This window comes from Homo sapiens, chromosome 2, assembly GCF_000001405.40.
Source record: "Homo sapiens chromosome 2, GRCh38.p14 Primary Assembly".
In the NCBI taxonomy this organism is placed as follows: Eukaryota; Metazoa; Chordata; class Mammalia; order Primates; family Hominidae; genus Homo; species Homo sapiens.
The window spans coordinates 58,296,600-58,312,093 of NC_000002.12; positions in this window are offsets into that span (position 1 = coordinate 58,296,600).

Consider the following 15,494-nt stretch of genomic DNA (forward strand, 5'->3'; position numbering starts at 1 on the left):
AATATTCTATTACAACCTCTTATGACATTAGCATTGTATATTTCAGAATGTAATTGTAGACAGAAAGTTGGTATATTTAATTCAAATTATGATTATTCTTTAAAAACAAAACTTGAAAATTCAGTTTATCTACATAATTGGCTTAAGTATTTGTTGCATGCCTATTCCATACCAAGCAATGAGCAAGGTGTTATAAAATAAAACATACAAAAACTATGTCCCTTTTTGCAGGCTGATTTTTACCATTTTAAGTAAGAAATATAATCTAATGCCCTGAAGAGTTATTCAGTTTGTATTGGGAATATCATTACTTTGAATAGAAGATTTTACAAAAATAGATTAAAACTGTGAGAAATTCTCAAAAAATTAAATGACCATAATATTCTCATCTCAGAATAAGAGAAGTGATTTGGCTTAAGCTGTGGAAAATAAGTCCTTTAGAATCCACATTTCCAAGGAGTTGCAGTTGGCTTTGCATGTGGTGGCTACTCCTTTATAAAGCATACTTCTGTGTTCAAAGTCTGTAGCTAGGGGAAAGCAAATTTATCCTTCAGCTAAACAAAAGTTCAATGATAAGAAAGAAAGTACAGGAAATTGTGAGTATTTTTTTTTCTCTTCATGCTTAGGGAATGCATGTGCATTTCTGCAGCAAAGGAGAAAATTAAAGGAAAACATTCTCCTCAAGAATCTTTCTTTGAATTTCATATGTAGACTCAGAAAACAGTATTGTTAGTGCTATTTATTCTGAGTAATACTTTTCAGTCAGATGTAAGCTGTTTTTCAATGTTTTGTTTTGGGGAAGGGTTTACTAATTTAACTAAAACTTTAAAAAGCAAATATAATAATTACAGTGAAATATGTGCTTCTGAACTAAATTCTCTGTTTGGTCAAATATCATTTGGATGGAATTTTTTCCCAGTCTCCATTTTCAAAATCAGTATAATTTGTGAAAACCTCTTTTGCTTATCAATATAACTAGACAACTAAAGTTCTAATCTGTCTAACACCTTAGCATTTTAATTTGTATTCATCTCTCTGTTGCTGATATATTGATATTCTTGTTTAATTAGTGGTATGAATGATAGAATCTGAGGTCTCAAATTATTTGCCAAAGTCACTGGGTTAACTCCTTAAAGCTGATCAGATGGGCTCTCTTTCTAACATCCTATTACAGGAGGTTTTTGTAAACTAGTGGTATAAACGATTATTTTTAGTTAAGAGAAGCCCCAGGAAAGATTAAAAAAATGGAATAAAGACATTCCAGTTCTTGATCTTATCTTTTTCTCATCTCAACCTTTAGAGAGTCTTGCTGGAAGAACACAAGGAAAGGCAGGAAGGCTTCTTACAGATCTTTGAGACCTCCTTCCACTCAAATCCCAGGGGAGCTAGAACGCTATACCTCTGTGGTTCAAAAAGTCTTTGGACCAGAAAAGGGGCCTTTATCTGCCAACATTTCAAACATATTCAATCAAATATTGATCTAGAAAATCAGTTACTTTTTCCTCTAGCAAAGAGATTAAATTAGTACTACCTACTGAAGGCCTACACATGGTCCTCGGGAAGATAATGATGGTACCCTAGGCTATTCCTAGGATCAAAAGTTTATATGGACACCAAACTGATTTAACGTTTTCTGTAATGCATGGAGACAAAAGGGTGAAAGATCTGCTTGCCAATAGTAATGTGCTGGAGATTATCTCATGTGGCGAGTCCTTGCATCAAGAAGCCAGGTTATGGTTTTCAAATCCATCTCATCTCTGAAAATAAAAGAAATGGAACGTGGCCTGTTTCACCTCACTGAAAGGTTTTCATCACCAGAAATATCTGATGCCTCTTATTCAAGTTGACAGTAGCACATGTTCCTCTGACTCATAAACAGTCCTTCTCTCTATTGTGTCCTGTTTCCAAGAAGTACTTAATGTTATGTTATTAAAGAACAGGAGGTTTGTCTGCCTATTCGTCCTCAAATAGGAGGCTATCAAAAATGACAAAAAGCTTTCCAAATTTTAAAATCAGTTGGAATTTCATGCTTAATTTATGAAATAATGTGTTCAAGTTGGTGTATGATATAAAAGGTAAACTTTAGCCTCCACATACTACACAATAGGGACAGCTCAATTTTAATTAGAAATTTTAGGTTGCAGAGAAGCTCATCTCTTCCAAAGTACCTATGATTTATTTATCAGTCACCTTTGTACTCTAAAAAAAATGAGTTTTTTGAGTTGTCTTTGCGTTTACCTTTACCTAATCAAGGAAACAGAAAAGATTACATATCTTACAAATTATACACACTCAAATCAAAATTTCATGAGTTAGTAAAAGTAAGAAAATAAAACATTACCCTTTTTCCTTGGAACCTTACATATGGCAACAATGGCATCAGCATAACGAACCTATTAATTAGAAGCTAATGTTGTAGAGACTAGGCATTTGAAGAGTCATACTTAGTAAAAAATAATAATCTTTCAGGTTATGGGACTTTAGTTGTTTGACACAAAGTTTAGATTCTTAGGTAAGATGGGGCATATTTTGGAAATGTGGCTTTGGGTTTTTATGGCACTGGCCATAATACGTTTATTATTAAGAAGATTATTTCAAACATTGTCACCATGTGGTCACTCAATTGTTTTGGCTGAATTGACTGCTAATGCAAGCAAATCAGTTCTCTGAATTCACTGTTGTTTTCAGCAGCATGGCAATGCAGTAAAAGAATTATGGGAATTCTTGAGCAATTACTCTATGCTAGCCACTTTGCTAAGTGATGAGAATATAGTGATGACTAAAGATACACATGGGCCCTCCTCTTAAATAACCAAATAATAAACACAATATTACTTCTGTAATAAGTGCTGTGAAAAGGAGGTACAGACATCTGCTGAACACCTGGTTTGTGTAGGGCATTTTGTTTATTTCACAAATTAATATAGAATCTTGTATGAAGGTTGAAAAGATTAATTGCAAGTTTAAGAACTAAAGAGCTCTGATTTCACAGGATCCTTGCATGGAAAAAAATGTCAGAAGAGTTTAGTTTATGGCAAGCTTAGTAGAAGACTATGGTGTGATATGGCTTTCAAAATAACTCATGTAGCTTTAGTCCCATTAACAAAGCCCAGGGTATAGACTAAGGAAGGAAAAGGCATTTGTGTAATTGACACCAGTCACATGTTGTGGGTTCCATTTCCAGGAAGTACAAATTAAAGTGGATATTAAAAATCTGGTGATGTCCACAGGAGCTGAATCCACATGATAAAAGGTCCAGAAATCATGTCTATAAGAAACATTTGAATAAAATGGAAAGCTTGGCACAGAGAAAACAAGGAGTGTTATGATAGTGTCTTTAAATAATTCATATGTTGTCATGGAAGATAAATTAGATAATGTATAGCCATACGTGACAGATCTTAGACCAACCAAAGGGAGGAAGTTACAAGTTTAGATTTAACATTGATGATGAACGTTTCAACAATAAAAGCTAGTTGAAAATGCAATTAATCACTTTGTAAGGCAGATTCCTTGGCATTAGAAATATTCAAATAGTGGCTTGAATAAAGTGTTTTTAAGAAATGCTATGGAAAGTTTTCTTACATTTATTGATAGATTAGACCAAATATTTTCTAAGGTTTCTTTCAACTCTAAATTTTTATGATTTCATGTTATAGTTATTAGAAAAGCTCATCTTCTAGAATGCACAAATGTAAAATTTTCATTCCTTCTGCAGAAATTTAGTGAAGGTCTGTAATTGTGGTAAAATATGGATAAATAACACATAATCTCTGACCTCAAGGTACTTATCATCTTGTGGAGATAACAAGTGCTTGAAAATAAGGAAATGATTCAGGATGGAATAAGTGCTGTGATGCAGTTAGATGGAAAGATCTGAGAAGACATGATAGTATTCAATTCTGAAGGAGGTGGTAATGAAGGAGAAGCAGACAAGATTAACAGAGAAGCCAGGAGTTAATTCTTCCTGCTTTTGTTTCTTTTTAGAGGATGAATAAAAAATAAGAAAGGTCAATAACCCAAAGCAAAGAGCACATTACATTACGTCTCCCAGGTTACTTCCATTCACTATGAGAAATATTTATGCAATATTAGAAAAGTAGGGTTCTGTATCTGTCCGGAATTAAGTCCTATACTCAAAACAGAGGATAGAGTTATGGAGCATAGGCTCTGCTACAGAGCCCTATACATAAGCTATAGACTTATATACACATTTTGGGCATAAAATCCTTTATAAATATATAAATAAAATTGAATATATCCTAACACCACTATGTGGGTTTTCACCAAAAGTATTTTATTTATTTTTAATGAAGATCTCTACCTGAAGATGCATAATTTCCTTTCTCTATAATGGATTTAAAAAACCCAGCTTTTAAAAATTTAATTCACCATACAATTCACCCACTTAATGTACAAGGTTAATTGTTTTTAGTATACACACAGATACCACAGCTAACTTTAGAACATTCTTATCACCTCAAACTGCATCCCTCTAGATATGACCCCAAATCCCTCTTAGCTTCCTCATCCCCAAGAAACCATTAATGTTTTCAAGGTCCATCTGTGTTGTAGCATGTGTCAATGCATCATTACTTTTTATGGCCAAATAATATTTCATTGTATAGACATACTACATTTGTTTATTCATGAATTGGTGGGAACCTTTTGACCATTATAAATAATGCTGCTATAAACACTTGTATACAAGCTTTAGTATGGATATATGTTTTATTTATCTTGGGTATTTAACTAGGAGTGGAATTCCTGTATTTTATGGTAACTCAATGTTTAACTGAGAAACTGCTAGACTGTTTTCCAAAGTGGATCTACAATTTAACATCCCACCAGCAATTTTTCTATATCTTAGCCAACACTTGTTATTATCTGACTTTTTGATTCTAGTCATCCTACTAAGGGTGATGTGGTATCTCATTGTGGTTTCAATTTGCACTTCCCCAGTGACTAATAATGACATCTTTTTATGCGCTTATTGGCTATTTGTATAACTCCTTCAGAGAAATCAAAATTCAGATTGCTTGTCCATTTTTAATTTGGTTGTTTATCTTTTTATTACTGAGTTGTAAGAGTTCTTTGTATATTCTAGTTACAAGCTTCTTATCAGATATATGATTTGTAAATATGTTCCTCCATTCTATGGGTGGTCTTTTCACCTTTTTGTAGTGTCCTTTGAAGAACTAAAGTTTTTAATTTTGATGAAGTCCAAAATTATTTGCTTGCACAATAATAGCAAAAATAGATTGGACTTCATCAAAATTTTTGTTATATCGAAGAATCCACTGCCAAATCTGAAGTCATTAAGATTTACATCTATGTTTTCTTTTAATAGTTTTGTAGTTTTAGCTCTTACATTTAGGTCTTTGACCCATTTGTATTGATGTTTGTATACAGTGTGAGGTAAGGTTCCACCCTTATTCTTTTGCATGTGGTCATTTGCCCCAGCAACATTTGTCAAAAAGGCAATTTTTCCCTATTAAATGGTCCTGGGACCCTTGCTAAAAATCAGTTGACCGTTGGCACATAGATTTATTTCTGGACTCTCAATTCCATTCCATTGATCTATATGTTTATCATTGTGCCAGTACCACACTCTCTAGATAACTGTGGCTTTGTAATGAGTTTTATGTCCTCTAACTTGGTTCTTCTTTTTCAAGATTGTTTTCGCTAATTTGGGTCTCTTGCAGTTCCATGGACATTTTAGAATCAGCTTGCTAAGTTGTACAAGGAAATCCACTGAGATTTTGATAGGAATTGTGCTGAATCTGTAGATTTGTATTGGGAGTATTACTATCTTAGTAGTATTAAACCTTCCTTCCAATTTATATATATGGGGTCTGTTTCCATTTGCTTAGATCTTCTTTAGTTTGTTCCAACAATCTTCTATAGTTTTTGGAGTATGTGGTTTGCACATTTTTTGTTAAATGTATTTGCAAGTATTTCATGCTTTTTGGTACTATCTTAAATGGAATTGTTTTTTTAAATTCCATTTTCATATAGTTCATTACAAGTTTTTAGAAATACAACTGATTTTTGTATATTGATCTTATATCTGGCAACCTATGGAACTCATTTATTAGTTCTAATAATTTTTAGTAGGTTTCTTAAGATTTTCTATACACAATACCATGTCATCTGCAAATAAAAATAGTTTTATTTCTTCCTTTCCAATCTGAATGCCCCTACTGTGGCTTATTAAAAAATAATCTATAATTGAGAGAAAAAAGAGAAGGAGGGGGTAAAAAGGCAGATACTATGTTGAAACACACATATGTAGGTTTTTGTGAATTTACACTGGAACAATAATATTCCAGTTAATAACAGGTAACAGTTTTATAGCACTTACTTTGTACCAAGCATTTTACACTTATTAAATTATTTAATAACATAACAATTCTGAGGTTGTTGTTTTCATTTGATAGATGAAGGTGCTGAGGCATAGAAATGTAAGTGGTTCCATAGCCCATAAGTGGCAGAGCTGGAGTGAAGGAGTTACTAATAGCAGCTAACAGTTGGATGAATTTCACAATTTCTAAAGATCTTCAAATAGTGTAATTAATTTTTCAATTAATCCTCAACATCACTAAATAGAACACATGTCTCTATTTTACCCATAACAACACTGATGCTCAGGGATATAAAATGATTTGAAAAAGGTCCAGAATTAATGACACAAAATCAGAATGGGAATTCATAACTTTTGACTGAGGCTTTATTTATTAGATCATATCTACACTTCTGAAAGCCTTTTCTACATATTGGAAAAGAATAATTTTCTAGAGCAGCCCAGTGACTTGTACACAGAGTAGAAAATATTGCAATTTCTGTTAGGGTTCTTTGGGAGCATGAAACAGAAAGGTATTCTGGCTAGTTTAAGCCAAAAGAAAACATTAGAAATTTATTGGAAGTTTATAAGGCAGCTCATGGAACTGGAGGAAAGGCATAACTATCAAGCCTTACAAAGTCAGATCCCATGGTAATATGTGAATCTGGTACACAGGAACTAGTGAGCAATTTTTCTAGGGTCTTGTGATTAGGAGAAGTCAGTTCTAACTATTTTCTATTCTGGTGACAGTCTGCTTGAGATTATAATTTCATGAAGAGTTTGATTTTGATTTACCTGACATGATCTATAGGCCCACATGTTGGCTTCCAAGTACCACAAATAATAAGTTAAATGAGGTATGGGAGATAGCAAAGAATTGGGATGCTACTATCAAGAAGAAGTGGACACTGTGCCAGCCTAGCTCTAATCTCTAAAATACGGAAATAAAAAGTGATCATACTTTCATCATTAACCTTTTAAAAGTTCCTTAGAAATTTATGCAGAGAAAGTATACTATGAATATGAACCCAGTACTTAATACATTTTGTCTTATAGTCTTCCCTGCCCGAGATACTACACACATATGTATAGATAGATAGACAGAGAGATAAATATAGATATGGTTTGGCTGTGTCCACACCCAAATCCCATCTTGAATTGTAGCTCCCATAATCCCCATATATGGTGGGAGGGACCTGGTGGGAGGTAACTGAATCACGGAGGTGGGTTTTTCCTGTGCTGTTCTCATGATAGTGAAAAAGTATCATAAGATCCGATGGTTTTATAAAGGGCAGTTCCCGTACACATGCTCTCTTGCCTGCTGCCATGTAAGACATGCCTTTCCTCCTCCTTTGCCTTCCACCATGATTATGAGGCCTCCCCAGCCATATGGAACTGTGAGTCCATTAAACCTCTTTTTCTCTATAAGTTACCCAGTCTCCGGTATTTCTTCATAGCAGTATGAAAATGGACTAATTTGGTAAATTGGTACTGGTAGAGTGGGATATCGTTATTCAGTTACCCGAAAATGTGGAAGCAACTTTGGAACTGGGTAACAGGCAGAGGTTGGAACAGATTGGAGGGCTCAGAAGAAGACAGGAAAATGTGGGAAAGTTTGGAACTTCTTAGAGACTTGTTGAATGGCTTTGACCAAAATGCTGATAGTGATATGAACAATAAGGTCCAGGCTGAGATGGTTTCAGATGAAGATGAGAAACTTGCTGGGAACTGGATTAAAGGTCACTCTTGGTATGCAAAGAGACTGGCAGCTCCCATATTGCCTTTGCCCTAGAGATCTGTGGAACTTTGAACTTGAGAGAGATGATTTAGGGTATCTGGAGGAAGAAACTTCTAAGCAACAAAGCATTCAAGAGGCAGCAGAGCATAAAAGTTTGGAAAATTTGCAGCCTGACAATGCCATAGAAAAGAAAACCCCATTTTCTGGGGAGAAATTCAAGCCAGCTTCAGGAATTTGCATAAGTAACAAGGAGCCAAATGTTAATCACCAAGACAATGGGGAAAATGTCTCCAGGACATGTCAGATAACTTCTCATCAGCCCCTCCCATCACTGGCTCAGAGTCCTCAGAGGGAAAAATGGTTTCCTAGGCTGAGTCCAGGGCCCCCTGCTGTGTGCAGCCTTAGGAGTTGGTGCCCTGCATCCCAGCCACTCCAGCCATGGCTGTGGCTAAAAGGGGCCAACACAGAGCTCATGCCTTGGCTTCAGAGGGTGCAAGACCCAACCAAGCCTTGGCAGCTTCCACATGGTGTTGGTCCTGCAGGTGCACAGAAATCAAGAATTGAGGTTTGGGAACCTCCACCTAGATTTCAGAGGATGTTTGGAAACACCTGGTTGTCCAGGGAGAGATGTGCTGCAGGAGCCCTCATTGGAGAACTTTGGCTAGGGCAGTGCAGTAGGGAAATGTGGAGTGGGAGCCCCAACACAGATTCCCCACTGAGGCACTGCCTAGTGAAGCTGTGAGAAGAGGATCACCATCTTCCAGACTCCAGACTCCAGAATGGTAGATCCACCAACAGCTTGTAGCATGCACCTGAAAAAGCTGCAGACACTCAAGGCCACCCGTGGAAGCAGCTGAAAGGGGAACTGCATCCTGCAAAGCCACAGGGGTGGAGCTGTCCAAGGCCATGTCCAAGGCCTTTGCATCAGTGTGACCTGGATGTGAGACATGGAGTCAAAAAAGATCATTTGGGAACTTTAAGATTTGACTGCCCCACTGAATTTTGGACTTGCATGGGGCCTGTAGCCCCTTCGTTTTGGCCAATTTCTCCCATTTGAGATGGATGTATTTACCCAATGCCTGTGTCTCCATTGTATCTAGGAAGTAACTAACTTGCTTTGGATTTTATAGGCTCATAGGCAGAAGGGACTTGCCTTATCTCAGATGAGACCTTGGACTGTGGACTTCTGAGTTAATGCTGAAATGAGTTAAGAACTGGGGACTGTTGGGAAGGCATGATTGGTTTTGAAATATGAGAACATAAGATTTGGGAGGGGCTGGGGTGAAATGATATGGTTTGGCTGTGTCCCCACCCAAATCTCATCTTGAATTGTAGCTCCCATAATCCCCATGTGTCATGGGAGGGAGGGGTTGGAAGGTAATTGAATCATGGAGGCAAGTTTTTCCCACAGTGTTCTTGTAATAGTGAATAAGTCTCATGAAATCTGATGGTTTTATAAAGGACAATTCTCCTACACCCGCTGTCTAGCCTGCTGCCATGAAAGACATGACTTTCCTCCTCCTTTGCCTTCCACCATGATTGTGAGGCCTCCCTAGTTATGCGGAACTGTGAGTCCATTAAACCTCATTTTTTTAATAAATTACTCAGTCTCAGGTATTTCTTCATAGCAGTATGAAAATGGACATATATATAATATATATATGCACACACACATATACACATACACCCCCACACACATACATATATACACACAAGTGTATATATATAATATATACACAATAAATGTGTGTACTATATATACAAATATGTATACACAAAACTGCATACAAAATAAGAAGGAAAATAACAATTTACTTAGAGGCCACAAAAAAGTAAATGTATTTTTCCATTTTTCAGTGAGAAAAAAGTATTCCCATGATCAATTTACCTTGATTTTTATTTTTTATTTTTATCTTCACTTCAGGACACGTGGTATAGTTAAATTATAAGGAAATAATTGTGAGTGCAGTCTATGTTCAATAGTTCATAAGCATAAAAATTTAACTTAGAACAACAAAAGCTTTTCCTACAAGTATGACCAATATTGTAAATTACCTCCAATGCTTCATGCAGAAATGTGGCATGGATTGCTTAATTATAATTTTTTCCCATTAGTTTTGTTTTTCTTTATTATCATGCCCTCACTGTAAGGTTCTATAATGCAATTTACAAAAGAAAAGCCATAAGATGCTGGGGAGAAAATGAGAAAAATCAAGAGGAGGTATTAACAGAAAAACAGGTAAATGAAATTATTATTATGAATGGTGCATTGTAAGATTTCTGTACTGTACTTTTATATATAAAGGAGAGGAGCTATTTTTTTAAAGCTGCATTTTAACTGTGGCAAAAGTACAGATTAATTGGTTATAAGTAAATGTTTATGATGAGTGCAGTTGTGTTGCTCCTGGCAAAATCGATCTGTATTCCCGTGCTTCTTAAGAAAGACCTTTATTTTTCTGGATGGGCATTTCTATTGGTTTATCAGTGAAGATATTTATAAATTTGGCTGCAGAGGATGCAGAGTGGCCCGTGAACAAGGTGCAGAGTATGTGGGTTCAATAATTATGAATTCCAAAGGATTTTTCAGGTTTAGTTGAGTGGTGACATCTATTCTCTTCTCTGCTGCCATGGCATGGAATATAATTTTTGCACTGGAGTGTCACATTGGCTCATGAAAAATAAAGCTATTTATTTCAAAAGAAACAATAGCAACATGATATGACAACTTGAGCTGGTCCAGTACAATTCAATTGTGTTGTTTTCTGATAACAGGGGTATAGCTGTGTCATCGCTTTATATGACTTTCTCCATATAAATTTGGGTTTTTTAAGTCTGAAATACAAATCCAGCTTTTATTGGTTTTATTAACTTTAATAACTTATACTGTAATAACTGCTGTTCTTTGCATTAAACTTACATTAAAAATGATATAGGGAGACTTGAATTAAAGTTAATATGATTGCAGTCTATAATAAATAATTAGGCTGCCTTCAGATAATAATATTGTCTATGACTTAGGTCCATTGTTTAATTCTTTTTTTCAAAACTCTTATCAGTTACGATGTTTATATTTTAGAGAATATAGAATAGTAATTTTCTTATATAAAAAGTATAGAAAGCTTTTGTTTTTTCCTGAAAATCACCAATAATCACACCTAGATTTTCAAATAAAAACAGTACATTCAATTTTATTCAACCAATTTAAAAAATTATTTTTCTGTTGTTTCCATAATACAAAGGTAGACTTTATCAGAAAAAACTTCTTGTGTTTTAATCTTTTTTCCACTGCAGATAAGTACAACCATGTATACTACACTTTTGAAAGTATAACAAATATGCCTGTTTTCATTTTCAGATTCTGCTATAAATTCTCCTCACCACTGTGTTGAGAAAGCCCAGGTGCCCATAAAAACCAGTGAATATATGCAAATGTTACACAGTTATAACAATCTATTTGGTATTAATAGATATTGTATATTAAATGCAAAAAAACAGAGGAACTTGAAGGGCAGAAATAAAACACACAAAGAAAATGCATGTTTTTGCTGATTAAGAAGTAACATTTATTTACAATCATTGTAATCTAGTCACGAGTGGTAATGAAATTTGCTACTGGGTTTTGAGCATAATGTTGCCTTCCCGAGTTGTCTTTTTCAATAATATACATTTACCCTTCAAGGCTTAATTTTAGGTATTTGTTTCTTCCTTCTGTGATTACTCATATCCACCCATGATCACTTTGTTTGATTTATGCTGGATTAAAACATTTTGCTCTGGCCACCACACTCTATGACTGGGTTGGAGTTGTAGTAACAGTGGGGAAAGGAACATGAGACAATAAGCAAAATCAAGAACAAAACAAAACAACAGTAAGAATAAAAACTGGCCATTATGGCCACATCTCTATTCTGGGAGAGGTGCTTGGCTGTATTTGACTCCAGGAGGTGATGTGGTTAAGGGTGAAAAGGTGGTTCCCATTGTTCCTCCCCTGAAACAGGTCAACTGGAAATGAGTTTCAGAGGCTGGTTAAAGTGGTGGCTTACACTTGCCTCCCAGGCTCCTGAGACAATGAAGGCAGGAATGACAGGGTAACATTTGGTCTGTATTCCTCAAGTTAGATGGCTGACCCAAATAGCTCATTCAGTGGATGCAAGGCCAGGGTGAGCCCATAAAAATCTGTCAAACATGGCTTTTTTTTTCTCCTGCCTTTCGTTGGTTGGGGAGCATAGGGAGAGACATTTCCTTCTTTTAAATCCCAATCCAAGGGAGGAAAGTGCCACATTGCCAGAAATGTATAGCCCTGAGAAGTGCATTTACTTGCTCCTAAGGCTTTTGTGAGACCAAAGGGTACCTACTTATAACTTTGGAGAAGTCACACCAATTACAAGGAGAGTGATTGTTCAGAGTAAATGAGTTGATGTAGATGATGTTTTTCTTATAGTAGAAGAATAATCACTTTTAGTATAAGGGGGCAGATAATATGATTTATAGGATTCTTTCTAGCTCTGTTTCATATACTGTTAATGACTTAATTTATTGCACATTTCTGTATGTGTAGAAAGGAAAATAATATGAGGTTTAAAAAGAGGAGCTTATTAAAAATCAGAAAAATGTGAAATATGTATTATTATTTCTAGGGAAAGAGTTGGAGCTCCATCTTTTACTAGCCAAATCTATGACCCTTAACCTTTCTAAGGGTGAGAAGGTGGTTCCCATTGTCCCTCCTTTGAAATAGGTCAACTGGAGATGAGTATCAGAGATTGGTTGAAGTGTGGCTTATACTTGCCTCCCAGGCTCCTGAGACACTGAAGGCAGGAATGACAGGGTAGTTTATATGATAAGGGAGTATATGATACTGCACTGTCATAGATAGGCCTCCTGGGTTTCCATTCAAGCAACAGCTCTCCACTTACTGCACATGCTGTTTTCATTTATCATGACATCTATTTCTGGAACTTTTTTCTCCAACGTGCTCAAGAACTTCATTCATTCATTCATTCATTCATTCAACAACTGCTTTTCGGGCATCTACTTTTTGCAAGGCAAAAGATCATGAGAATACTTTGCAGACAAGACAAAATTCCTGTCCTCAAGAAATTTATATCACAAAGAGGCAAACTATAAAAACTGACCAAACGATATGTGACAGTTACTAGAAGGAAGGTGAGCATAGGTACAATGGGAGTGTAGTGAAGTTCAAACCTTGAAGATTCAAACAAACTGACAATTCTCAAATTAGCAGGAGAAAAGGCACACAAATTTATGAATGTGCATAAGCAAGAGATCCATACGAGATATGAAAATCAAAGAAAGGTCAGATGCTTGAAGCTTATATACCATCTTCATAGGGGAAAGGGAGGTAGGGAAAATGTAGGCACTTTGAGGGGTTGTAAATGATTTTTAGGGAAAATGAACAGGCCCAAAGAGCAGAAAATAGTTTGTAAATGATTCTCTTTAAAAGCCGAATGGGACCAATAAGTTATGGGAAGGTAAGGGGTAGAACTGCACTGTGAACAAAAGTTGTCTTATTATGAAGATAAAGCCTCAAGTAATCTCTTGGAACTGCTCTAGGAAGAATAAATTAAAAGTCTCTCTGGGTGTGGTGATGACTTTTATCTGTCTTATTCTATGAGATTATTTAATGAGATTCCTAAGCAGGGGAACTTAAGAGAATTTCATTTCTTTTGGAAGAAGTTTTCATCAGTCAGATAAGGGAACGGTTAGACAGTTCCCCTTCCTGAACTTGGGGAAATGGAGGGACACCAAGAGAAAGAAAGTTGTTGGTTTGAGGCAGCTTCGAAGGTCTTCCAATTTCCTTTTATTCAAAATTGCTCAGAGGTGGGTGCTGTGGCCCACTCCTGTAATCCTAGCACTTTGGGAGGCTGAGGCAGGAAGGATGGCTTGAAGCCAGGAGTTCAAGACCAGCATGAGCAACAGTGGGACTTCATTTCTACAAAAAGAAGTACTCGGAATGTCAAACCACCTTACTTTGAAATATTGGCCTCTGTGCCCCAACGTTAGCCATGAGAACGAAGCATCCTTCCTTACATATTTTAAGTACAGCCTAAAAGTTTCTCCATCCATAGTGAACTGTAACCTAACGGACTGTGTAAACAGACTATAACCTACTCTTTTGATTGAGTTTTGGCCAATCAAATGTGGCCAACTGTTCAAACTGTATTCAAATAAGGCAAAGGCTGAGCTGTAACCAATCTAATGTTTCTGTATCTGACTTCCATTTTTTTCTGTATGTCACTTTCCTTTCTCTGTTCATAAATGTCCTTTGACTATGAGGCTGTGCTGGGGGCATCTCTAATCCTATTCTGGTTCGAGGGCTACCCATTCACAAGTCATTCTTTGCTATTGCCAGTTAATTTGCAGGCCCCCAATCACTGGATCCAAGTTGGAAAAAAAAATTTTTTTCTCCCAACAGGGACATAGTGAATGACCGACTGCAGATGCGAGTGTGGCACAGGACAGGCAGAGAGAGCAGTTGCATAATACAGAGCTTCAGATAAACAGACTCCTGATCCACAGCACAGCAGAAGAAAAACATGGGGGGAAGGCCAGCTCATGTCTGGAAATGGCTCCTCAGGGAGGCTTTCCATGATTAATTCATCACAATTCAGGATTGCCATCAGTATTGAAAATCCTGTTTATCATCATGCTTATAAGGCAGCCACCTCTCATTGGTGAACTTAACCTTAACTAAACTCTTTACACTAATTTATAAAACCTGAATGTCATGGTACATTTAATATTAGAACAGCTACTCTTTGACTTTGCAATCCAATCCTAAGACCTAAGAAAAACAAAAACATATGTCTACAAAAAATAATTGTACATAAATGTTTATAATGGATTTATTCCTGGGAGCAAAAAACTCAAAAACAACCCAAATATTACGTGGAATATCCATACAACAGAACAGTATTCAACCATACAAAGAATGATCTACTGGTACAAATAACATGAACATTCTCAACAATTTCAAAATATTATGCTAAACTAAAAAAGTCAGAAAAAGAATTTACTCTATATAGCTGCATTTACATGAAGTACAAGTTCAGGCCAAAACTAATCTATGATAACAGATTGTATGGTATGATTTTTAATTTTTGCTTTGCGAGAAGGGGGAGCAATTGACTAGAAAGTCCTTGTGGAAACTTCCTGGGATGATAGAAATGTTCTAAATCTTGATTAGAGAGGTAATCAAGATATTTACAGCTCATAAAACTATATTTAAAATCTGGGTCTTCTGTAAAACGTAAGTTTTACCTCAAGAGATTACTGCAAACAAACATACATGAGAGAAAGAGATACCACCATGGAGTTGTCAAGGTCAAAATAAAAATGTAGATTGATCATGAAAAGAAACAAACTCTGTAAAATACATGAAGAGATTTATTCTGA